Source organism: Homo sapiens, chromosome 7 (assembly GCF_000001405.40).
Source record: "Homo sapiens chromosome 7, GRCh38.p14 Primary Assembly".
NCBI classification, from domain to species: Eukaryota; Metazoa; Chordata; class Mammalia; order Primates; family Hominidae; genus Homo; species Homo sapiens.
The window spans coordinates 138792436-138816918 of NC_000007.14; the positions used below are offsets into that span (position 1 = coordinate 138792436).

Consider the following 24483-nt stretch of genomic DNA (forward strand, 5'->3'; position numbering starts at 1 on the left):
ATAAAATAATCTTAAAAAGCAACAAAAAAGGAATGCATGTCGTAATCTCTACAAAATGGAATAACCCAACAACTCAATCCAAAAGTAGTGAGAAGAAAGAGAAAAGGAACATAAGCTAGATGGGAAGAGTAGAGAGCACTTGGTAAGCTGATAGATTGATTTGTTTGTTTTTAAATTTTAGAGACAGGGTCTCACTCTGTCACCCAGTCTGGAGTGTAGTGACTCCATCATGGCTCCCTGCCATCTCGGATCTCCTGGGCTCAAGCAATCCTCCTATCTCAGCCTCCTGAGTAGCTGGGACCACAGGCTTGCATCACCAAACTCAGGTTTGTTTTTTTTTTTGTTGTTTTGTTTTTTTTTTTGTAGCAACAGAGTTTCACTATGTTGCCCAGGCTGGTCTCACAGTCCTGGGCTCAAGAAATCCTCCCATCTTGAACAGGGTTTTAGAAAAGTTGAAAGTAATATGATGGGAAAATGATTTAGCATGCCAAACAAAACAAAAGAAACCTGTTATAGCTACAGCAATATCAGACAAAGTAAAGTTTATGGCAAAAAAACATTACTAGAGATAAAGAAGGCTGGGCGCAGTGGCTCACACCTGTAATCCCAGCACTTTGGGAGGCTGAGACGGGAGTCTCACCTGAGGTCAGGATTTCAAGACCAGCCTGGCCAACATGGTGAAACCCCTGTTTCTACCAAAAATACAAAAATTACCCGGGGGTGGTGGCACACGCCTGTAATCCCAGCTACTCAGGAGACTGAGGAAGAAGAATCGCTTGGACCCGGGAGGTGGAAGTTGCAGTGAGCCGAGATCGTGCCACTGCATTCCAGCCTGGGCGACAGAGAGAGACTCCATCTCAAAAATATAAAAGAGATGAGGGATATTACACAATGATTTTTTAAAAGAAGGTTCAATTTGCCAGGAAGTTGTCAAAATTCCGTATTTGTTTGTACCTCAATTACAGCCTCAAATATTGAATGCAAAAGTTGACAAAACTACAGGGAAGAAAGAAACCCGCAATCATCTCTGTATTCAACAGAATAATTAGACCAAATTTTAAAAGACAGGAAAAATATGGATGTTCTGAACCACACAATTAGCACTCTTGATCTAATGGACTTACCCGGAGCACTGACCCCACAACTGCATGACACATTCAAGAGCCACAAAAATTGGTCATATGGTGTCTTTTAACTAACATCAAAAAATAGAAATCATCAAAGTATATTCGCAGGTCACAGTGCAACTAAGCTACAAATCAATAACAAAAAGATAACTAGAAAACCTCCGTATGTTTGGAAATTAAGAAATATACTTCAGAGAAGATGGGAGGGAATAAGATACAGGACCTAGGTGGAAGGTTGTTTTCGCCAAGAGGAAGGACCTCCTTTGTGTTAACCTCCGCGTGTCTGGACCATAGCTGCACCGCCTCCCAGTGCAATTTTGAACAAGCTAAATTAGTCATCCTGGGAAGTGTTCAAAAATTATTCCAAATGGTGGACTCCAGGACTTCCTTGCTGACTTTCTTACTTTGATCAACTAACTCTATGGCATGATCTTAACAGCTGTAGTTCTCAAGGTTTCCTAAAAGGGAACCTCTTGTTCTCTCCAAATTACAGACCCATCACTGAAGGGCAGGGAGTGAGGTTAACTCCTCCACAAACTAAGTGCTGCTCAGGTCCACATCTAGATGTTTCGGTCCCACAACCACCCAGAGCCTGACATTATTTTGTAAAAACAGATCCTGACAGAGCCAGGAGCAAGAAGAGCCATCAACCCCATCTCTGTGAGGGAGCTGGGGCTTGGCAGGCACAGGCTTGGTTAGGGCCACAATTCTCCTCTGAATAGATTTTGGGTTAACTGGAGATGAAAAACCCAAGTTCAAGGTGAGAGGTCTTTTCCCCGAGATGGACAGGTGGCAACGGGGCCTATCAGAATCACAAGAGAAGCTTCATTAACATGAAATATTCTTCCCTGGGCCGTTCCAGGCCACAGACTGCAGGTTTTCCATCTTTTAGCCCTGGAAACTCTCTGCCTACTTCTTTTCTTTTTCACATGAAATCTTATCAGGGATAACAGGTGAAATTGGAAGCAGTAAGAGCCCTGGAATCCCACTCTCTTGGCTACTCCTCTCTCCAACCACCACCATGGTGCCTAGCCACAGACATTTCAGCCTGAACTTTTAAAATAGTGTGTGTAACCAAATACCTATCTCACCCATTTAAAAAAAAAAAAAGTCTTGAGAAAGTCTAGCTTTGAGTAAGGCAACTTCCTGATATGCGCTCCAAAGTAAACCTGATGCAAAATGTATGAGTGAGGAAATGGGCCACATGGAGTTGTTAGTTGTAGACCTGCTACAAACAGCAAATACTGGTGACACTCGTAAAGTAAAAAGTGGCCACACACACACAGCCCTTTCTTTGGGGTTAATAGTTATCATTGGCCAGTCCAGCCCACCCTATTTTTTTTTTTTTTTTTTGAGACAGAGTCTCACTCTGTTGCCCAGGCTGGAGTGCAGTGGCACAATCACGGTTCACTATAACCTCCACCTCCCCAGTTCAAGTGATTCTCCTGCCTCAGCCTCCCAAGTAGCCGGGATTACAGGCATGCACCACCACGCCTGGCTAATATTTCTGAATTTTTTTAGTAGAGATGGGATTTCACCATGTTAGCCAGGCTGGTCTCGAACTCCTGACCTCAAATGAGCCACCTGCCTCAGTTTCCCAAAGTGCTGGGATTACAGGCCTGAGCCACCGTGCCTGGCCCAGCCTATACTATTTTCGAATAACAAAGTTCTTCCATCTGTAGATAGGAGAATGTTTGTCCTACAAACAGCTCATCTAAAACAGTCCGACATCACATAACAATGATAAAATAGGGAGGGAGGGCCAACACATTATCCCCCTCCTCCACATCCACTGCTTGCCAGAAAAGCTTTCCCTGATACGACTTGATAGGATGGTCTCAGCTTAGGCTGCAGATGCTGTTCAATCCACCACTACAATAACCCCAGGCAGGCCATCTTACATGTTTGCATACCTCAGGTTCCGATTCCATAGGAGGGACAGGCTCTGCTCACGTCAAACACATTAAAATGCACCCAGCGTCCCACATTAAATCGTTTCCGTTTAAACATTTCAAGTGAACTGTATAACTTTGCTTTTGAAACAATCATTTATTTTGCCCAGTTTTTGATTGTTCAAATTTTTGTTTGTTTGTTTGGGGACAGGGTCTCACTGTGTCACCCAGGCTGGAGTGCAGTGGTGCCATCTCAGCTCACTGCAGCCTCAACCTCCTGGGCTCAAGTGATCCTCCCACCTCAGCCTCCTGAGTAGCTGAGACTACAGGTGCACACTACCATACCCAAGTAATTTTTTTGTGTTTTTTTTTGTTTGTTTTGCGGAGGCAGGGTCTTACTATGTTGTGCAGGCTGGTCTTGAACTCCCTGGCTCAAGTGATCTTCCCACCTCGGCCTCCCAAAGTGTTGGGATGACAGGCGTGTGCCAATATGCCTGGTCTGTTCTTCAAATTTTGGATCTGAGAATATTTTCTCAGGTCTCAAACATTTTTGAGATCCTTGGAAATCTTGGGGATTCCACGTACCGCTGTTATCCCTAGTACCCATTGGATAAATCAGTCCTGCCCTGTGAAGCCCACTGCAGGGTTTACTTGTGAGGAAAACATCGAGGACAGCATTTGTTCTACTAAGCAGCGTCCTCTCTGTGGGGACCTTGAGTTCCTTGAGCACAAGGGCTGTGTGGTCTTTCTCACCCCCAGGTCCCCACACCGAGAGCCTGGCCTGGCATGCAACTGTTTAATGTTCAACTAGTGGTAATGCCTAAACTGGACTTCTGTGCACTGACTGAAAATCACCCTTCCTAGGGCACGTTGGCCCTATCCCCAAATCCAGGAACATAGGCCACCACTATTTTATATCTTAGAGCCAATTAGAAAAAAGTGCCTCCCCTGGGCTGTTACACTCCACTAGGAAATCTTTCCTTGGGGCTTACTCACGCCTTCTATGTCTTTCCACAGAGCTGGAGTCCACCCCTCACCCTTACCAGGCCCATTCATGCGCAGGAACACTTCCACACATGGCAGGCTGTGTGCACACAGACGATTCCCTCGCCTTTATAGGTGCTATTCCTTTGACTTGAAAAGCCCATCAACTCTAATCTGCACATACAAACTTCAGCACCCAGCCCAAATGTCACTTTCTCTGTGAATCCTTCCCCTATACCTCTCAGGCAGAGTTCATCCCATCCTCCTTTTTATTCCCATCACAGTGGAAGGTACCCCTATTTGAGTCTTGCCAGGTTGCATCAAATTTCTTTCTTCCGGGTTTGGTTCCCTGCTGCACTGTGCTCTCAAGGGGAAGAGGCGTGTCTCAGTCATCTCAGTCTCCAGTGCCTAGGATGAGACCTTTTATATACATGTGGGTCTTCAATAAATGTTTTAGACGGAATGCAGAGCTCTAGTCAAGTTACTCCTCAGCTCAAAATCTCTACAGAACCTTCCCCTTTGCTTCCTGACTTTGTTTCAAATTCCTCTACCAGGCACGCAGAAGCTTAGCCCACAGCTCTCCTCTTGCCTCCCCACCTCACATGCCTTGGCTCACCTGCGCTTCTGGGTGCTGCTGGTACAGCCACCCTCTGACACTTCCTTACCTCTGGACCTTTGCTCATCTGTCCCTCTACCTATAATGCCATCTTCCCCTCTCCCCCTGTCAAAATTCTAGCCATCCTTCAAGGCCCAGGCCAAATGCCATTTTCTTTTTTTTTTTTTTTTTTTTTTTGGAGATGGAGTCTCCCTCTGTCGGCCAAGCTGGAATGCAGGGTCAGGAGCATCTCAGCTTACTGCAACCTCTGTCTTCCGGGTTCAAGCGATTTTCCTGCCTCAGCTTCCCAAGTGGCTGGGACTACAGGCATGCACCACCACACCTGGCTAATTTTTGTATTTTTATTAGAGATGGGGTTTCACCATTTTGGCCAGGCTGGTCTTGAACTCCTGACTTCAAGTGATCCACCTGCCTCAGCCTCCCAGAGTGCTGGGACTACAGGGTGAGCCCCCATGCCCAACCTCAAATGCCATTTTCTTCTTGAAGCATCCCATCAGCAGATGTGGCCTCCACTGTTGAAACCCACAGTGCTTTATCCTCCCAAGCCATTCCTCAAACACGGTTCTGGGGTTGAATGATGCGTGTTTGTAATTAACGCACTTCGACAGCAGGTATCTCCCAACTTCAGCATAGTGGGTGCTCAGTGAATATTGGCCCAAATGGAATTGAGCATCCATGCTACACCTGCAGATGGGAGAGGCAGCAAACTCATGTCCCAGGAACCAGCATGACACAGATCTCTCTTGTCCTCCCCTTGTTTCTCAATAAGGACAATATTTGCGCTCAGGGGAGAAGGGCACAGCTTGCCCCTCCCTTCCTTCCTCAGCCAACGGTTTGGCTTCCCTTCTAGAGAGGTGAGAGAAGGTGTGACAGGCCAAGTTTCCTTTGCTCCACCCCATGGTGTTTCCCCCAAACACCCAGCATAAGTTCACCTCTGGCAGAGTTGCTTTCCAGCTCCTGCAGGTGGGAGTCGACTCACCTGCAGCAGGCACTCGGCACAACTCCGCAGGACCGGCTCACCTGCACCGGGCACTCAGCACAGCCTCCAGCATGCAGCGCCTCCCCGCTGCCACCCGGGCCACCCTGATCCTCAGCCTGGCCTTTGCCTCCCTCCACTCGGCTTGCTCGGCAGGTAGCGTTATGAGCTTTATTCATGGCCAGGCTGGGAAGGGGGAGGGAAGGAGGGAAGAGAGGTGGGAGGGAAAGAAGGAGGAGGGGGAAGATTCTTTGGCCAGGGTTGGTCCTGCGCAAAGGAAGGAGGAAACAGAACTTTCTCATCTGAAGGATTAGGCAGGGGGTGGGAGGTGGGGCTGGGGCAGGGGGGGTCTTAGGTTGGCCTGAGACGGAGATCAGATACTCAATTCCTCAGCTAAGGCAGGAGCAGCCACCTCTCTTGGCCTTTGCCACAAAGAAAGGAAAAAGTTATTTGCTGGAGTCTCACCCATCAGGGGACCAAAATGATATCTCTTGGTCCGCTGTGTCCTGAAGGCTCCTTCTCAGCCCCACTGGGCTGTCGTGCTTTGCAATCCTCCCTGTGCACATTTGTGTCTGACCTTCCCTTTCCTAAGTCCTCCATCCCTCCCTGCCCCTTGTACTTTCTCTGCGACTTTCACAAAACCTGACTGCCAGGAGGGCTGCCATTCACTGTCTCCCACCCTCCTGCCTCCCCGGGCACTGGAAATGCTGGGTTATCTCCCCATTTTCCTGTGGAGGCTGGAAGGCTGATCTACATCCCCTGCCTTGCCCTGCCAGGCCGGGTTCTGCAACTCACGGCAGAGGGACCTTGGTTACCATCTTCTGCTCCTGGCTTTGATCTTGTTCTCAGCCACCTCAGAACACCACCACACTCTCTATGCCCTGCAACACTCCTGCTCCCAAAACCAACCCTGCCCCCAAAGTCCTGTGTCTGCCCCTCTCATCCTCAGACTCTCTTCTGTAGCCACTGCCAGGGGTGTTGGTGTTGAGGTTCAAGACGTGCACTCTTGAGCCGCTGAGCCTGAACCCAGGTCCAGCTTCCATGACTCACTAGCTATGCGACCTCGAGCAAATGACTTTACCTCTCTATGCCAAGTTTCCTCCTTTATCTCATGGGGACAATCATAGTGCTTGTCAAGACGAATTGATGTAATTTCATGTAAAGAACTTAGAAATAGCCCATAGAACACACACAGTGAATGTCAGCAATTATGGTAAGCACATTCATTTTATTTTCCAACTTCACCCCTCCCCAAATAAGAGTGCTGAGTTTCTTTCTACTTACCCCGACAGTGCCTTGCTTATGATGGGAGCTCAGAATCAGAAGACAAGTTTAACTGCACTGAATCGTTGGGTCTTCCCAGCAGCTTTTCTTGTGGAATAGCCCCAAGTAGGGCCAGTCCCTCCCTCGCTTCTGGCTCTGCTTATAAGGGAGGAGGGCGATGTTTAAATTCTTAGGAATTTTCACCGGGGCTATTCCATTTGAACCACAGAAAATTGCTGATATTGAACAATTTTCACCTATAACAATGGCAATTTCATAAGCTCGAACCTAACCCTAGCATTCAGCCAACTAGGGTTTTTTTCCACTCACTTTGGAAGAGGACAACTTCCATTCTAGGTGTAGAGGTGAAATGAAAGTCAGGGCCAAGGAAGTTATTTGAGTCATAAGGAAAATTAGAATAGTGAGGAATCAGTTTCTCCAAAACAAATAAAGACCAGGCTCTAAGCCATTTAGCTGTAAATAATTTACAGTAACAGATTGCATCGAGGCAATTACTATACTTTAAGCAGGACATTGGAGTGGCTTGGGGGTTGGGTGGCATAAAATTAGTCTCAGCAGCAACTTCATGGCTTTAGCTAAACAGCAGGTTTCTTCTGAACTCGTCCTGCTGTGACAACAAGCTCCCTTGAAGGACACACTGACCCACAGCCAGGGGAACCTTGAGAGTTTCCATGCCCACCACTTTTTTTTTTTTCCTTTTTGCATTCCCCAAGAAGCAGAACGAACAGCAATATAATTTCTAGGAAGGTTCTTCCAATCCATCTCTTGGTTTCCATCTACCTAGGTCAGCATGAGCACTGTCTAATAATAGAACTTGCACTGAGGGTGGAAATGTCCCATGTCTGAGTGGTGCTTCCAATATGGTAGCCACTAGTCACACGCGGCAATGGAACCCTTGGCATGGGTCTAATGTAAACAAGAAGCTGAGTTTTTTTTACTGAATTTGATTTTAATAAATTTAAACAACCACAGGTGGCTAGTGGCTGCCGTATTGAACAGTATGGACTTAGAGGTCATCTCTCTTCTTATTGTCAGTTATGGACAGGAACCTGGATGCCTCAGATCCCTAACCCAATCCCACACCTCAAGACAACAGGACTTTAACAATTCATGCTAAAGTCCTTTTTATCTTTCCACTCCTTGCTCATGAATCAATCTATGTGCTGCGTATTCTGGCAGTCTCTGGGCTTGCTTCTATGATGTTTAATTTTTTTTGACAGCCATCATTCTGGAGGCTGGAAGTCCAAGATCAAGGTGTTGATGGTTTGATTTCTCCTGAGGCCTCCCTCCTTGGGTTGCAAATAGACGCCTTCTCACTGGGTTCTCACGTGGACTTTTCTCTGTGCATGTGTGTTGCTGATGTTTCTTCTTCTTCTTCTTCTTCTTCTTCTTTTTTTTTTTTTTTTAGACGGAGTTTCACTCGTCACCCAGGCTGGAGTGCAATGGTGTGATCTCAGCTCACTGAACCTCCGCCTCCTGGGTTCAAGCAATTCTGCTGCCCCAGCCTCCCAAGTAGCTGGGATTACAGGCATGCACCACCACGCCCGGCTGCTTTTGTATTTTTAGTAGAGACAGGGTTTCATCATGTTGGCCAGGCTGTTCTTGAACTCCTGACCTCAGGTGATCTGCCCACCTCGGCCTCCCAAAATGCTGGGATTACAGGTGTGAACCACTGCACCTGGCCTCTTCCTCATCTTATAAGGACCCCGCCATATTGGATTAGGGCCCACCCATAGGACCTCATTTAAGCTTAACTGCCTCTTCGAATGTCCCATCTCCAAATACAATCACATTGGGGTTAGGACTTCAATATATGAAACTTGGGAGAGGGGAACATAATTCGGTCCATAACAGGGAGTTAGCTTTGTTGCAGAAAGCCTCAATATGCCCATGCGGGAGCTTCTATAATACTTTCATAATACTCACTACTGATTTACAAAAAACATTTCAAAATCTATGCCTGGGAATAGCTTTTGCCAGTGCCTCAGACTATCTCCTATCTTTTCTTCCAGAAGCAAGCAGCAGCAACAGCTCAAGCTTGACCGCTCACCACCCAGACCCTGGGACCCTGGAGCAGTGCCTCAGTAAGCTTCTCCTGCCAACTGCTCTAACCCCAGAACTGGCCCTCAGCCTGGGAGGGAAACAAAGGCCTCCCCGCTTTCCGTTGATTGGTGTCAAGTGGGCAAGGGCCTGCCTGGCCTTCCTGTGCACCAGTGTGGTTTGTCCCAGAACTATTTGCAGAGCAGGTCTGAAAGGCTTTCTTGGCTCTGATCCCCATCTAGGTGCACAATCTTTGACACAGATTGCTTTAATGACCCATCCCAGGTCAGCAGCTAACAATGCCCTAGGTTCAAATGCTTGAAGAAGTTTGGAGGTGGAAAGGCCATAAGAAATCATCTAGTCCAACTTCCACCCAATGCAACAGCTTGGTTTTGGCGTCCTTGGCATACATATTTCTTCTTCTTCTATGCACGTTTTTCCTCTTCTTGCCTACTTCTAGCCACAAGGCGCTCAGTAATTCATAGAGCAACCACTATTATGCATGTCTAGCTAATAGAAAGTTTTGCAGCTGGGCGCAGTGGCTCATGCCTGTAATCCCAGCATTTTCGGAAGATGAAGCAGGTGGATCACCTAAGGTCAGGAGTTTGAGACCAGCCTGACCAATATGGTGAAACCCTGTCTCTATTAAAAATAGAAAAAAATTAGCTGGATGTGGTGGCATGCGCCTGTAGTGCCAGCTACTAGGGAGGCTGAGACAGGAGAATTGCTTGAACCTGGGAGGCAGAGGTTGCTGTGAGCCGAAATTGCACCACTGCACTCCAGCCTGGGCAACACAGTGAGACTCCCTCTCAAAAAAAAAAGAGAAAGTTCCACTTTATTTTGTCTGGTTCCCTTTATCCTGCCCTCATTGAATGACCGAATGCATTAACTTAGGCACTTAAAACGAAGGATAGGCTGGGCGTGGTGGCTCATGCCTGTAATACCAGCACTTTGGGAGGCCCAGGTGGGTGGATCACTTGAGGCCAGGAGTTCAAGACCAGCCTGGCCAACATGGCAAAACCCAGTCTCTACTAAAAATACAAAACATTAGCTGGGTGTGGTGGTGCGTGCCTGTAATCCCAGCTACTTGGGAGGCTGAGGCAGGAGAATTGCTTGAACCCAGAAGGCAGAAGTTGCAGTGAGCTGAGATCATGCCATTGCACTCCAGCCTGGGCAACAGAGTGAGACTCTGTCTCAAAAAGAAAAAAAAAAAAAAGGAAGGGGTATTAGGGAATAATACATAGAGGTTAAGAGTATGGCTTCAGAGTCCTGCAGACTTGCGTTTGAGTTCTTCTGCCATCTTGTGATCTTGGGCAAATTACAGCCTCAGTTTCTTCATGTAAAATGGGAATAAAAGTCGCACCTGTCGCTTTGTGAGGAAGGCATAAGCTAACGTGTAAAAGCACGCAGCACAGTGCATGGCACGTAGTAGGCCTCATCAGTGTCAGCTACCGTGCTGTGATTGTTCTGTTAATATTAATGGTAGAGAAGCCTGGGCAGGGCTGGTGGTGCATGCCGTCGTCCTTGCTGTCCCTTCCCCACCAGACGTGGACTTCTGCCCACAAGCAGCCCGGTGCTGCCGCACAGGAGTGGACGAGTACGGCTGGATCGCGGCAGCTGTTGGCTGGAGCCTCTGGTTCCTCACCCTCATCCTGCTCTGTGTGGACAAACTGATGAAGCTGACTCCAGATGAGCCCAAGGACTTGCAAGCGTGAGACCCAGGCTCGGTGCACAAAATGGTGATCGCCACCAATTTGTGGCTAATGGGGAAGGGGAGTAAGGCTAACATGGTTTCTATTATTTAAGTCATTTTCACCTTTAAGCTTCAGTTACTTTTACAAGGGAAAGAAGAAAGAGCGGGAGAACCAAATAAGGCAAGCCAGTGCTGCCCTTGCATGTCACTCCCAAGGGCCCCTGGGCTGTGCCCAGGTAACTCCTCTCTCAAGATAGTCCCTCTGTAATGTATCCTGTTTTAACCTTTCTTCTAGGCACCAAGGGAGGTGCACAAGAAACTATAAGACTTAGTCTCATCATCAACATTTTCAGAAGCAAGTGCATAACCTTCTCACCAAAACCAGGTTATCTGCTTCTGTCCCTGGCTTGAGTCCTGGGCTTAACTGTCATTTCAGAATCTGAGAATCAGTCAGGTATGGTGGCTCATGCCTGTAATCCCAGCACTTTGGGAGGCAGAGGTGGGCAGATCACTCAAGGTCAGGAGTTCCAGATCAGCCTGGCCAACATGGTGAAACCCTGTCTCTACTAAAAATACAAAAATTAGCCAGGTGTGGTGGTGCACACCTGTAATCCCAGCTACTTGGGAGGCCGAGGCAGGAGAATCTCTTGAACCTCGGAGGCGGAGGTTGCAGTGAGCCAAGATCATGCCACTGCACTCCAGCCTGGGCGGCAGAGCAAGACTCTGTATCAGAAAAAAAAAAAAAAAAAAGAATGTGAGGATCAGGTGGGCATGGTGGCTCATGCCTGTAATCCCAGCACTTTGAGAGACTGAGACAGGAGGATCACTTTAGCCCAGGAATTCGAGACCAGCCTGGGCAAGATGGCAAGACCTTGTTTCTGTTTAAAAACTTTTTAAAGTTAAAAATAAAAATGTGAGAATCCCCTTGACACTCCCACCATCTTCACCCCCACCTCAGGTCCTTCTCCAGCTCTCCTTCTGGCTTCATCCTGTCTTCCACGGCTCTCCTGTCCCACCTATTCTCCCTGCCGGTGCCCAAGTTTTAGCCTTCACTGCCTTCCCCTAGAACACGCCAGGGATATTGCATTCTGTCCTCACTGTCTTGAGGATCTTCCTCCCCGGCTCATCACTCCCCATGGGCAGCTGCCAGGGTAGGCGCTGTCACCTTCTGTTGACAACAGTCAGTAGCTCCTAAGGACTAAAACTGTTCAGCCCAGCATTCAGCTCTTTGGAGGAGTCCATCTGTCCCCCAGCACATCCAGGAGTAAGGATTCCGACTGGTCCACTCCTCATCCTGGTGTCTTCAGCTTCTCTGCTGCCATGTTCTTTGCTGGGATGGCTGCTTCCCAACTCCACCTCCAGAATCAAGGATATTCCTCCAAGCCCAGCTCGAATGCTTGATCTGCCTGGAGCCTTCCTGGTCATCCTTGGGTGACCTGGAGCTGGTGCTGTTAGAGCACTTCTGCTCTGCCCTGATGTGCAGTTGTTGTGAATGGGCCACTCCATAGTTTATCCTTCCTCACACCCCTGGGGCATAGTACCCTATTCAAGTTTGTCCAATGAGTGCATGGGTGAATTAATGAATGAATGAACAAATGAGTCTTTGCCCTAGACAACTTAAGGTCCTCACTCTGCATTAGGAGCCTCCATTTTTCTCCAGATGGTTGAAATAACCAGCCTCTGAAGGAGCCAATGGTTTGGTCACTGCTCTCTCAGCAAATTACAGTCACTGTCACTTAGCATGGAGAGTGGACGTTGCACATCACTGTGAAACCTTGCAGAGGAGGAGAGGGCAGGTTCATCAGAAGAAAGAAAGGACAAAATGACTCCTTATGAAGCATTTTGTGCCTTCTGTGAGAAAACATGTATTTAGATCAGATAAACTCTAGTCAAAATACAAAAAGGAAAAATGAAAGACCTCTGAAATAGGAACAATCTCTTGAAGAGGCAAATGACTCAAAACTGCTCAGTGGCTCTTTCAGAAAATCTAAGTAAAGTTCCCTGACAACAGAAACTGAAGAGATTGCCTGGTTCATCTTGTAGTCTTCCAAAACAGCAGATAATTTCTGAATCTCAGATGTTGAATCAGTGCAACGGGATGGATTTCTTGTTCCTAAGTGTTAAATGATCACATACATAAAAGAGTCTGAGCCTGAGCAACATAATGAGACCCTGTCTCTACAAAAAAAAAAAAAAGATTAGCCAGGCGTGGTGGTGCACACTGATAGTCCCAGCTACTCAGGAGGCTGAGGGAGGCGGATCACTTGAGCTAGAGAGTTCAAAGCTGCAGTGAGCCATGTTTGTGCCACTGCACTCCAGCCTGGGCAACAAAGTGAGACCCTGTCTGGAAAAAAAAAAAAAAAAAGCGTCTGCATAATTCCTGGTGCATTTTGTGGATATACAATATGAGTATGTGTTCCATGTTTTCAGAAATTCAAAGGAAGCGTTTCCACAATATGTGACGGTTTATTTCCCAAGAGATGAAAAGATTCATTAAGGTGCATGCTTTGATTTAACATCTGCAAACATTTAAAAAATATAACAGTGTGTGACGTAGCAGTGAGAGTACTATCTTTTTTTAAAAAGGGAAATTAAGATTTATTTCTGGCCAATGTGAACAGAAATAAGTCACTTTATCTCACTGAGCACCAATTTTACACGTGGAAAATAGAAGAATTGGACCAAATCAGCAGTTTCAAGCTGAGTTGCAAAAGTTCATGGAACCATTTCAGTCGCTTCATGGAATCGGGGTAGGCATGAGGCCCGTTGTTCTTTCAACCTGAGCCGCATGGCTCTTGTGTCTTTAAACCTTGTGGTAGGATTTTTTTTTTTTTCTGCTTTAATAAGTGAAGGGTCAGGGCACCAGTTGGTGTCTGAGATGCCCTCCAGTCTGGGGAACCCCGTAGATGCTTAGACTACTTTGAACTGAAGTATGTGCAGTCTGCCATCTCACATTAAAATGTAGGCATTTTGTCAATTGCTTTTCTTTCATCTGCACAAGAGGAAGGAGAGAACGAATCAATACAACCACTCTTTTCCTTGAGACTGCAAAGAAAATGGTTCTATAGTTTGATGGTTCTACTTCCCAGATGCTACCTCTCAGATTTATTCTCAACAGAAAATTTTTTGATTACAGCAGACCAGATCTTTATCTGTCAATAAGTTAAAAAAGATAATCTGGGCTGGATGTGGTGGCTCACTCCTGTAATTCCAGCACTTCGGGAGGCCAAGACAGGAGGATTGCTTGAGCCCAGGAATTTGAGACCAGCCTGGGCAACATGGCGAAACCCCACCTCTACAAAAAAATACAAAAAAATTATTTGGGACTGGTGGCGCATGCCTGTGGTCCCAGCTACTCGGGAGGCTGAGGTGGGAAGATCATTTGAGCCCAGGAGGTTGAGGCTGCAGTGAGCTATGATCTTGCCACTGCACTCCAGCCTGGGTGACAGAGTGAGACCTTGCCTCAAAAAGAAAAAAATAAAGAAAAGAAAATCTGAAAGGGAAAGCAGGCATCAACTTCCAGGGATCTAATAACTTCCTAACTTAAAGCAACAGAACTTACCTAACTTTTGGACTTTTCATTTTAAAACTTTGCCTCTAGCAGTGGACACTGTCCTCAACACAGCTACAGTTTATGTAACACAGAGTCCATATTATATGGGGCATGTCTGTATCAAAATGTCATATGTAGAAATAAAGTATTAAATATTAAGGTGTGGCATAATTATCTGACTTTAAAAATCATCATTTAGTGGCCGGGCATGGTGGCTCACGCCTGTAATCCCAGCACTTTGGGAGGCCAAGGCGGGCAGATCACCTGAGGTCAGGAGTTTGAGACCAGCGTGGCCAACACAGTGAAACCTTGTCTCTACTAAAAATACAAAAAATTAGCCGGGTGTGATGGTGGGTGCCTGTAATCCCAGCTACTTGGGGGACTGGGGCAGAAGAATTGCTTGAACCTGGGAGGCAGAGGTTGCAGTGAGCCGAGATCGGGCCACTGCACTCCAGCCTGGGTGACAGAACGACACTCTGTCTCAAACAAATAAGTTAATTAAATTAAATAAAAATCATCATTTAAAAATCTATTCCTGGCCAGGTGCAGTGGCTAATGCCTGTAATCCCAGCACTTCGGGTGTCTGAGGTGGGTGGATCACCTGAGGTCGGGAGTTCGAGACCAGCCTGACCAACATGGAGAAACACTGTCTCTACTAAAAACACAAAATTAGCTGGCATGGTGGCACATGATTGTAATTCCAGCTACTTGGGAGGCTGAGACAGGAGAATCGCTTGAACCTGGGAGGCAGAGGTTGCGGTGAGCCATTGCACTCCAGCCTAGGCAACAAGAGCAAAACTCCATTTCAAATATATTCCTTTTTATATGCATGACACCTAATGCAAACAAAACAAATATACAATTTTTTATTAACAAATAAATGTTACAGCATGTAAGATTAATCAGCTGGACCTGGTGGTCCACATCTGTAGTCCCAGCTGCTGTGGAATCTGAGGAGGGAGGATGACTCGGGCCCAGTAATTAATTGCTTTGAGGGTGTAATGCCCAATGATCGTGCCTGTGAATAGCCACTGCACTCTAGCCTGGGTGACACAGCAAGACATTGTCTCTAAAATGAAACAAAGCAAAACAAAAAATTAATCAAAAACAAGTCTTAGGATAGCTTGGGCCTTGTCTTAGTCAGTTTGGACCGCTATAACAAATTATCATAGACTGGGGAGCTTCTAAACAACAGATATTTATTCCTCTGGAGGCTGGAAGTCTGAGATCAGGGTGCCAGCATGGCTGGTTTCTGGGGAGGGTCCACTTCTTGGTTCATGGACAGCCATCCTCTCATTGCATCCTCATGTGGTGGAAAGAGGGCAAAGGAGATCTCTGGAGCCCCTTTTACAAGGGCACTAATCCCAATCGTGAGGGCTCCACCCTTATGACCTAATCACCTCCTAAAGGCCCCACCTCCAAATGCCATCACCTTGGGCACTAGGATTCAACATCAATTTTAGGGGGACACAAATGTTCAGTCTATGGGAGGCCTCATTTCCACAAAAATATATAGAAGCATATTTTTAAACTTGGAGAAATATTAATCTAGATGTTTCTGATGAAGAAACTGCTCTGTCTGAACTCCAGCATCCATTTTGAAGTCATCTATAGGGGATCTTCCTTGCCATGTGGTAGGAGTGCCTTGTATACACCCTCTGCCTGCCACCTACTTCCAGCCTTACCTGGCTCCAGCCCCTCCTCCTCACTTCTTCCAGAGTGATCTGTCTAATACATAAATAAGTGATCAAATCACCCCCTTCCAAAATCCTTCTGTGGCTCTGCACAGCTGAGGGAACAGGATTTTTACTCAGGGTGAGCCAAAAGAGCTCTGTAATTGGATCTCCAGACATTTCTCTAGCTTTATCTCTTGCATATCCTTCATGCAAACAGGGTTTGAAATGATTCCCATTCCCTAAACACTCTATCCTCCTGGCCTTCATTTTTGCTGTTCACATGGCCTGGAACGTACGTACCCTTCCCCAGAGGAAGATCTGCTGTGAACCAAGAGAAGCTTACACTCCAGGCCTCCTTACTTGAATGGGCCCCTCCGAGTCCCTGAGTCTAACACTGTATTCCTAATTTTTCTATCCTTTTTTTTTTTCTAAAGGCAACCTCCCCTTAATTGTCTACATTTAAGGCCCCATAAACCTGGGCCTGCCCTTGCTTCCCCTCATCCTCCCCGGCCCCCCACTCCCAGTTGGATTTTGGTTTACTGAGATTGGTCTTCCAAGTCAAGTTGCCTCTTCCTCCCTGGATGGACACACACACACACACACACACACACACACACACACACCTTCCTTGACCAAACTCTAGCCAGGCGTTTTTTTGAGCCCTCTTCTTGACTAGACCTTAACCTTGGCTTATAAAAACTACAGACTCTCAGCATAAATGATTTCATCCAGTCTCTTCCCCTCACATGTAAAGACTTGACCAAATACTAACACAGCCTCTAACAGCTCCAGGCTGCACCCCTAGGATGAGCAGGAGGTCGAGACTCTGCCTGGGAGATGCAGCTGGAGGTGAGTGATGCCAGGCCGGGTCCCAGGCACATCATATGCACGGCACAAAGGTGCTGTTCCCATCCAAACAGAGCTAACCTATGTGAGAGCTGGGCGTGGCAGGGGTGGGGAATTCAGGACTCTTATCCAAGTCCTGGGGCAGCCAGAAGCCCCCTTCCAGTAAACCCCTCTAACAAACCCACACTGCACATGCACACATACACATATACCCCAGTGCTTTGTCCTGGACGTGCTCTGGGGATCCCTGAGCTCACTTCCCTCCCCTGCCCACAGTCCACAGCCAATTCCACCCCTGCCTGACTCAGAATGGCAGCAGGGAGTGCAATGGCAAGTGTTTGAGGGGCTGGCTGGGTGTACTGGGCTCCAGGGCCCATGTGAGTGTAAAACTCAAGCACACATGGCAACCACGCTGCTGCCTGCTGGGATCCAGAAAGCCCTCCAGCAGAAGCCCAGGTTGTTCCTCACACACTCAGTTTCCTTGAGGAATAGGCACCCTTTAAAATGTGCATAGCAGTTCCGAAGGGCTGCTAAAACCCATGGAAAAAGGGAACTGCACATAAGATCTAACACTTGGCTTCCATTACATGCTTGACTGCTACAAAACACACCTGCTACACGGCATATTTGCATATGTGTTGTTCAAATTGTAATTAAAAAAAAAAAGGCTAAAGTTAAAAAAAAATTGATTCCAAGCCCTAATCAATCTCATGGCCAGACTGATCAAGAGCCATTGATCAAGGAGCCTAGTGAGGATGGCAATTTCCTTCCACAGGCCGCAAATGTGGCATTTCAGTTTCCCATCCTGAGTGCAACTGATGTGAAATTGCACTTCTATGTGCAATTCCAGTGCACATAGAAGCACATTTCTCTTTCCTACTAACACAGACAGGACCAAGGTGCAATTATCATGTTTCTTTCATGACATGTTCTTTTCTATCAAGGAGGAATAAGGACCAAAATCGTCGTTTAAAAACAAGCAAATTTCTCTCCTTTTCATTGGTTGAGCAAGTGGTTTCTTTCCTAAGTTTGTATTGTTATAAACAATATATAAAGTACAGAGAATAATTAAATTATCAAGTCATGAAAAGACACAGAGAGCCGAGCTCAGTGGCTCACACCTGTAATCCCAGCACTTTGGGAAGCCGAGGTGGGAAGATTCCCTGACCCCAGGAATTCGAGACCAGCCTAGGCAACGTAGCAAGATCCCCATCTCTAAAAAAATTTTAAAAATCAGCCAGGCGTAGTGGCACATGCTTGTAGTCCCAGCTATTCAGGAGGCTGAGACAGGAGGATCCCTTGAGCCTAGGAGTTTGAGGCTGCAATGAGCCATGTTTCTACCCCTGCACTCCAGCGCGGGTAACAGAGTGAGACTCAGTCTCAAAAAAAGAAAAGACAAGACATGGAGGATATGCCTATTACTGAGTGAAGAAAAGCCAATCTGAAAAGGCTATATACTGAATGATTCCAACTATATGACATCCTGGAAAAGGCAAAACTATGGAAGCAGTAAAAAGATCAGTGGCTGCCAGGGGTTTGTGGGGAGCGGGGAATGAATAAGCAGAGCACAGAGGATTTTTAGGGCAGCAGAACTAGTCGGAATTATAATGGTGGGTACATGTCATTATACATTTGTCCAAACCCACAGAATGTACAACACCAAGAGTGAACTCTAATGCAAACTCTGGACTCTGGATGATACTGATGTGTCAATGCAGGCTCATCAGCTGTAACAAACGTACCAGGCTGGTGGGGGGTGTTGATAATGGGGGTAGCTGTGCACTGGGGAGCAGGGGATATATGAGAACTCTGAACTTTCTGCTCAGTTTTGCTGTGAACCTAAAACTGCTCTAAAATATAGTTTATTTTTTTAAAAAAACTGAGCTAAGAGCATCTCTCAGAGAGTATTAGTACCCACTCCAGAGAAGGGTAATATTTAATCCCTTAAATTTAAAATCCCTTAAATTTAAAATCTTCAATAACAACAAAAAAAGTACTGGTAGAAGGATAACTTCCGTATCTTACGTACTAAGAGCAAACTTTATTTTTACTTTTTTAAAATTTTTTTATTTTCTATTTTTTTAGGTTGGAAGGATTTTTTATATATATATATATATTTATTATACTTTAAATTTTAGGGTACATGTGCACAACGTGCAGGTTAGTTACATATGTATACATGTGCCATGTTGGCGTGCTGCACCCATTAACTCGTCATTTAGCATTAGGTATATCTCCTAATGCCATCTCTTCCCCCTCCCCTCACCCCACAACAGGCCCAGGTGTGTGATATTCCCCTTCCTGTGTCCATGTGTTCTCATTGTTCAATTCCCACCTATGAGTGAGAACATGTGGTGTTTGGTTTTTTGTCCTTGTGATAGTTTGCTGAGAATGATGGTTTCCAGCTTCATCCATGTCCCTACAAAGGACATGAACTCATCCTTTTTTATGGCTGCATAGTATTCCATGGTGTATATGTGCCACATTTTCTTAATCCAGTCTATCATTGATGGACATTTGGGTTGGTTCAAGTCTTTGCTATTGTGAATAGTGCCACAATAAACATACGTGTGCATGTGTCTTTATAGTAGCATGATTTATAATCCTTTGGGTATATACCCAGTAATGGGATGGCTGGGTCAAATGGTATTTCTAGTTCTAGATCCCTGAGGAATCGCTACAGTGACTTCCACAATGGTTGAACTAGTTTACAGTCACAACAACAGTGTAAAAGTGTTCCTATTTCTCCACATCCTCTCCAGCACCTGTTGTGTCCTGACTTTTTAATGATCGCCATTCTAACTGGTGTGAGATGGTATCTCATTGTGGTTTTGATTTGCATTTCTCTGATGGCCAGTGATGATGAGCATTTTTTCATGTGTCTTTTGGCTGCATAAATGTCTTCTTTTGAGAAGTGTCTGCTCATATCCTTCACCCACTTTTTGATGGGGTTGTTTTTTTCTTGTAAATTTGTTTGAGTTCTTTGTAGATTCTGGATATTAGCCCTTTGTCAGATGGGTAGATTGTAAAAATTTTCTCCCATTCTGTAGGTTGCCTGTTCACTCTGATGGTAGTTTCTTTTGCTGTGCAGAAGAAGAGCAAATTTTAACACCTAAATTTATTTATCAAGTCCATTCTTAGAATGACTGAATCAATCAGAAGTGGCTCATTTACTCTTCAGAAAGCTATTCTCATCTATTCTGGAAAAATATATGACATACAGCCAATGTAGGCCCAGCTCTTCTTCATATGAAGTTTTATTCATCTAACCCCAGCTTTCTGATGTCTGTGCAGACAGTCTAGTTTGTCATTCCTCTTAGTTCATGTCACTCTGTCACCACTGGCCTCTGCAAGGTCCCCTCATTTCACTTTTTTTTTTTTTGAGATGGAATCTCGCTCTGTTGCCTAGGCTGAGACCAGTACAGTGGTGCAATCTCGACTCACTGCAACCTCTGCCTCCTGGGTTCAAGGGATTCTCCTGCCTCAGCCTCCTGAGTAGCTGGGATTACAGGCACCTGCCACCACGCCTGGCTAAGTTTTGTATTTTTAGTGAAGACGGGGTTTCACCATGTTGGCCAGGCTAGTGTCGAACTCCCACCCTCAAGCAATCCACCCACCTCGGCCTCCCAAAGTGCTGGGATTACAGGGGTGAGCCACCATACCCAGCCTTATTTCACTCTCTAATCCCTTTTATTCCCATCCCCCTCTCTCATTCTCCTATGGCTATTTCCCTAAGGCAACCATATGAGCCCCTGTATGCGCTCTTGTGAAATGTGAAGTGTTATTATAAGTTCAGGTGTTTGCATTTACATTAGTACTCATGCTGCTGCTTAGTTTTTTCACTCAGTAGTAATATTTCCAAGACCTACTTAGGCCGCTATGTGCCTATGGTCCAGAGCTTCCAGCGGCTGCAGAGGATTCTATCATGTGAGCCCACCACAATTCATTTCTCTGTTCTCTGGTAGACCGACTCATAGGCTGCCTCCAAGTCCCACTTCATAGCACACCTGCTCATTCATGGGCCTGTGATTGTATTTTCCTGGAAAATATTGCCAGATGCAGTGTCACTAAGTCACAGCAGAAACACTTTAATTAAACTTGGTACTATGGGATGACCTGCTTCTCAAATTGACATAAGGATATTTCATTCAGTTGAGCCAGAAATTGAAATTGACTTTTCATTGTTTCTGTCTTCCTATATCATGATAGACAACAGTCATGTTTATGCCTCACCTAAGAATAATATGCACGGTATTCCCACTGTTAGATATTAAATTCAATTTATTGAATCCTATTTTATTTTGAATCTAAAGACAATATTGCTATCAGTTTGTATCATAGTTAGCATATTATTTTTAACTTTTTTTTTTTTGAGATGGAGTCTTCCTCTGTCGCCCAGGCTGGAGTGCAGTGGAAGGATCTCAGCTCACTGCAACCTCCACCTCCCGGGTTCAAGTGATTCTCCTGCCTCAGCCTCCCAAGTAGCTGGGATTACAGGCACGCACCACCACACTTGGCTACTTTTTGTATATTTATTTATTTATTTATTTTTTAGTAGAGACGGGGTTTTGCCATGTTGGCCAGGCTGATCTCGAACTCCTGGCCTCAGGTGATCCGCCCACCTCAGCCTCCCAAAGTGCTGGGATTACAGGCATGGGCCACTGCACCCAGCCTAACATGGTTTTTAAGAAGATGGTTATGAATAAAATTCTAGGGAGTGTGCATTTTAGCTGAATTAAACAATAAAATCTCCTCCCTCTTACTATATACCTATGCGTAGATTTCTCACCTTCACACCTGAGGCCAGGTTATTAAAATTAAAAATAAATTTTCACCATCAAATAGGCTGGAGTCATGCCAGATTTGGGGAGATACAAAGGAAGAAAATGTGTTCAAGAAGGCAACTCTGTTGACTTTTTTGGAACTCTTTATGAAACCACAGTGTGTTTTTCCCAGAAATGAACTAAGATGCAGATACTATCACTCCATTCTGAAAGTCTGTCCTAGCAGTGTGAACAAACAACGCAACCAGGTTAGGAGGGTAGAAGATAGCTGTGTCACACACCACGCTAATGAGAAAAACCTCCAGCATTGTGCCTCAGAAGGCTGAGACTGGGGGAATTTTGAACCATTCTTATTCTATAAGACACTAGAATGTACATGCCAGGTAGGCAGGAGTTTTAATAATTTTAAAATGACTTTTAACATTTAAAAATAGTTTTCATAGACTTGATATATCACTGCAAGAGCTAAATTTTCCTGGAGACAAATAGAACCTCCCATCATCTCCCCAGCATCTCCAGTTTGCTTTCAGGGATGGCAGCTTTCCAAGCCATCTCTGGATGAAGACCACACGAAATGCAGCTACATCAACAGAAGCAAACAAACCTCTCACCTCCCAACTTCCTGAGGGTGAGGGCAGGCGACCCCCTTTGAAAAGCACTGGGGTGGGGATGTAGGTGAGGGGTGCTGGCCAGGGGTCATCTGCATAAGATGTGTGATGGGAGGAATTTGCATGTAAGGCAAATCAGAACTTAATGATTATCTAAGGGTGAAGACATTCTCATTTTTTACCCAGAGATGTTCAGCTGAACATTTCATGTTGTTCACATAATTTATTTTTTACTTGCATCTGTGGCTTTCCATGAAACCCAAAGAGTTAATGTGAGTTGGCCAAAGTCACATCAGGTTAAGTAGCTCAGCATGGATATTTTTTAAAGTAGCTGATCCTCTCCAGGCTAAAAATTCTCTGCTTTAAACCCTCATCAGCAAGACTGCTTTAGATACTGGGACCATATAGTGAGTTATAGAATCTGAGTTGAAAGTAACATTAGAAGCCAAGTTCCATCCTCTCTCTCTCTCTTACACACACACACATACACACACACACACACACACACACACACACATCCATTTAGTCATGCCTCAAGAAAGATGATCTGTCTCTGTTTGGTAACCAGTGAATGATGTTCAACACATTAAGAAGGAGTCTCTTAAATCCTATATACTGAAAATGTCTACATCTTATGACGTAATTCTAATAATTTGCCTAATAGAAAAATAATTCAAAGGAAAAAAAGCTAAAAGCTAGGAAGATAATCTGGAAAAATAATAGCTGTTTCTAATAATTGCTATTCTAGATAATGTAACATATTGGGAAAAGAAATTAAATATCAAATAATAAGGTAATGGCAAAATAGTATTACTATGAGATATTATATAGCTATAAATGATAACTATGAAAACTCATTAGAATTTTTTACTTGGCCAAGTTACAAAATACTAAAAAGTATGTACATGTAGTCCTAATGCTGGTGAAGATACAGTTAGAGGTATCATCAAACATGGACATTAGGGGTATACTTTTTTTTAGGGATATACATTTGACCAGGATTTCTGAAATATAATTGATATTTTGGAATAAAATCCTTTCAGTCTATTCAGGTCATTTGCCTCAGTAATTTTACCTCCAGGAACTGATTCTAAAGAAACAATATGACACCTAGACAATTTATACAGATACAGAAACTGCACACCATTATTTATAATAGCAAAACATTAAAAACAACCATATGTTTAACATGAGGGGAATGACTAAATTCTGATAGATCCATTCAAGAAAATGTTATGCAGAAAAAATGATATAAATCTATATCTATAGGTACACATAAGCATGCCTCATTCTACTGCACTTTGCTTTAATACACTTCACAGATATTGTATTTTCCTACAAATTGAAGATTTGTGGACTGATCCTACATTTTTTTTACAAATTGAAGATTTGTGGCAACGCTGTGTAGAGCACATTGGCACCATTTTTCCAACAGCATGTGCTCCTGGGTCTCTGTGTCACATTTTGGTAATTCTTGCAACCTTTCCCACTTTTTCATTATTATTATATCTGTCATGGTGATCTATTATGAGTGATCTTTGATGTTACTACTGTATTTGTTTTGTAGTACCACCAACCTCACCCATATAAGACAATGAGCTCAATCAATAAATGTTATGTGTGTTCTCACTGCTCCACTAACTGGCCATTCCCCCATCTCTCTCCCTCTTTTGGGGCCTCCCTATTCCTGAGACACAACAATATTGAAATTAGGCCATTTAATAACCCTAAAATGGCCTCTAAGTGCTCACGTGAAAGGAAGAGCCCTATGTCCCTCATTCTTTTTTTTTTTTGAAACGGAGTCTTGCTCTGTTGCCCAGGCTGGAGTGCAGTGGCGCGATCTTGGCTCACTGTAAGCTCCGCCTCCCAGGTTCATGCCATTCTCCTGCCTCAGCCTCCTGAGTAGCTGGGACTACAGGTGCCTGCCACCACGCCCGGCTAATTTTTTGTATTTTTAGTAGAGCTGGGGTTTCACCATGTTAGCCAGGATGGTCTCGATCTCCTGACCTCGTGATCCACCCGCCTCGGCCTCCCAAAGTGCTGGGATTACAGGCATGAGCCACCGCGCCTGGCCCCCCTATGTCCCTCATTCTAAATCAAAAGCTAGAAATGATTAAGCTTGGTGAGGAAGACATGGCACAAGCTGAGATAGGCCCAAAGCTAGGCCTCTTTTGCCAAATAGATGGCCAAGTTGTGAATGTAGAGAAGAAGTTCTTGAACCAAATGAAAAGTGCTACCCCAGTGAACACACAAAGGATTAGAAAGTGAAACAGCCTTATTGTTCATATGGAGAAAGTTTGAGTGGTCTGGATAGAAGACCAATCTGGCCACAACAGTCCCTTAAGCCAAAGCCCAATCCAGGGCAAGGCCCTGACTCACTTCAATTCTGTGAAGGCTGAGAGAG

At 45.2% G+C, this 24483-nt stretch overlaps 2 protein-coding genes across 3 annotated transcripts in view, besides 1 other annotated feature; one reads left to right on the forward strand and one right to left on the reverse strand.

Moving 5' to 3' along the window:
- ATP6V0A4 (ATPase H+ transporting V0 subunit a4) overlaps positions 1 to 5761 on the reverse strand; it is a 91903-nt gene extending 86142 nt beyond the window's left edge. For both annotated transcript variants that reach the window (NM_130840.3, NM_020632.3), the window contains exon 1: positions 5599 to 5761. The gene's annotated coding sequence lies outside the window, so the exon portion shown is untranslated. The remainder of the gene's footprint in view (positions 1 to 5598) is intronic.
- Positions 5529 to 5823: a silencer, noted in NCBI's record as "tiled region #1249; HepG2 Repressive non-DNase unmatched - State 22:ReprW, and K562 Repressive non-DNase unmatched - State 21:Repr". NCBI's record gives its function as "represses a minimal TATA promoter and a strong SV40 promoter by Sharpr-MPRA in HepG2 and K562 cells {active_cell/tissue: HepG2 | K562}" and the evidence as "EXISTENCE:reporter gene assay evidence [ECO:0000049][PMID:27701403]".
- On the forward strand, positions 5559 to 14324 carry TMEM213 (transmembrane protein 213). The gene is made up of 3 exons (NM_001085429.2): positions 5559 to 5751; positions 8892 to 8963; positions 10465 to 14324. The coding sequence occupies exons 1-3, from the start codon at positions 5670 to 5672 to the stop codon at positions 10632 to 10634; spliced, it is 324 nt and encodes a 107-aa protein (NP_001078898.1). The 5' UTR covers positions 5559 to 5669; the 3' UTR covers positions 10635 to 14324.
- Positions 14325 to 24483: the final 10159 nt, after the last annotated feature.

Bases quoted from the DNA above. Each gene is read 5' to 3' on its own strand.
- TMEM213 (NM_001085429.2), top strand. From the start codon at position 5,670: ATGCAGCGCCTCCCCGCTGCCACCCGGGCCACCCTGATCCTCAGCCTG. The intron at 5,752-8,891 runs GTAGCGTTATGA...CTTTTCTTCCAG, and splicing joins CCACTCGGCTTGCTCGGCAG to AAGCAAGCAGCAGCAACAGC. The intron at 8,964-10,464 runs GTAAGCTTCTCC...CTTCCCCACCAG, and splicing joins GACCCTGGAGCAGTGCCTCA to ACGTGGACTTCTGCCCACAA.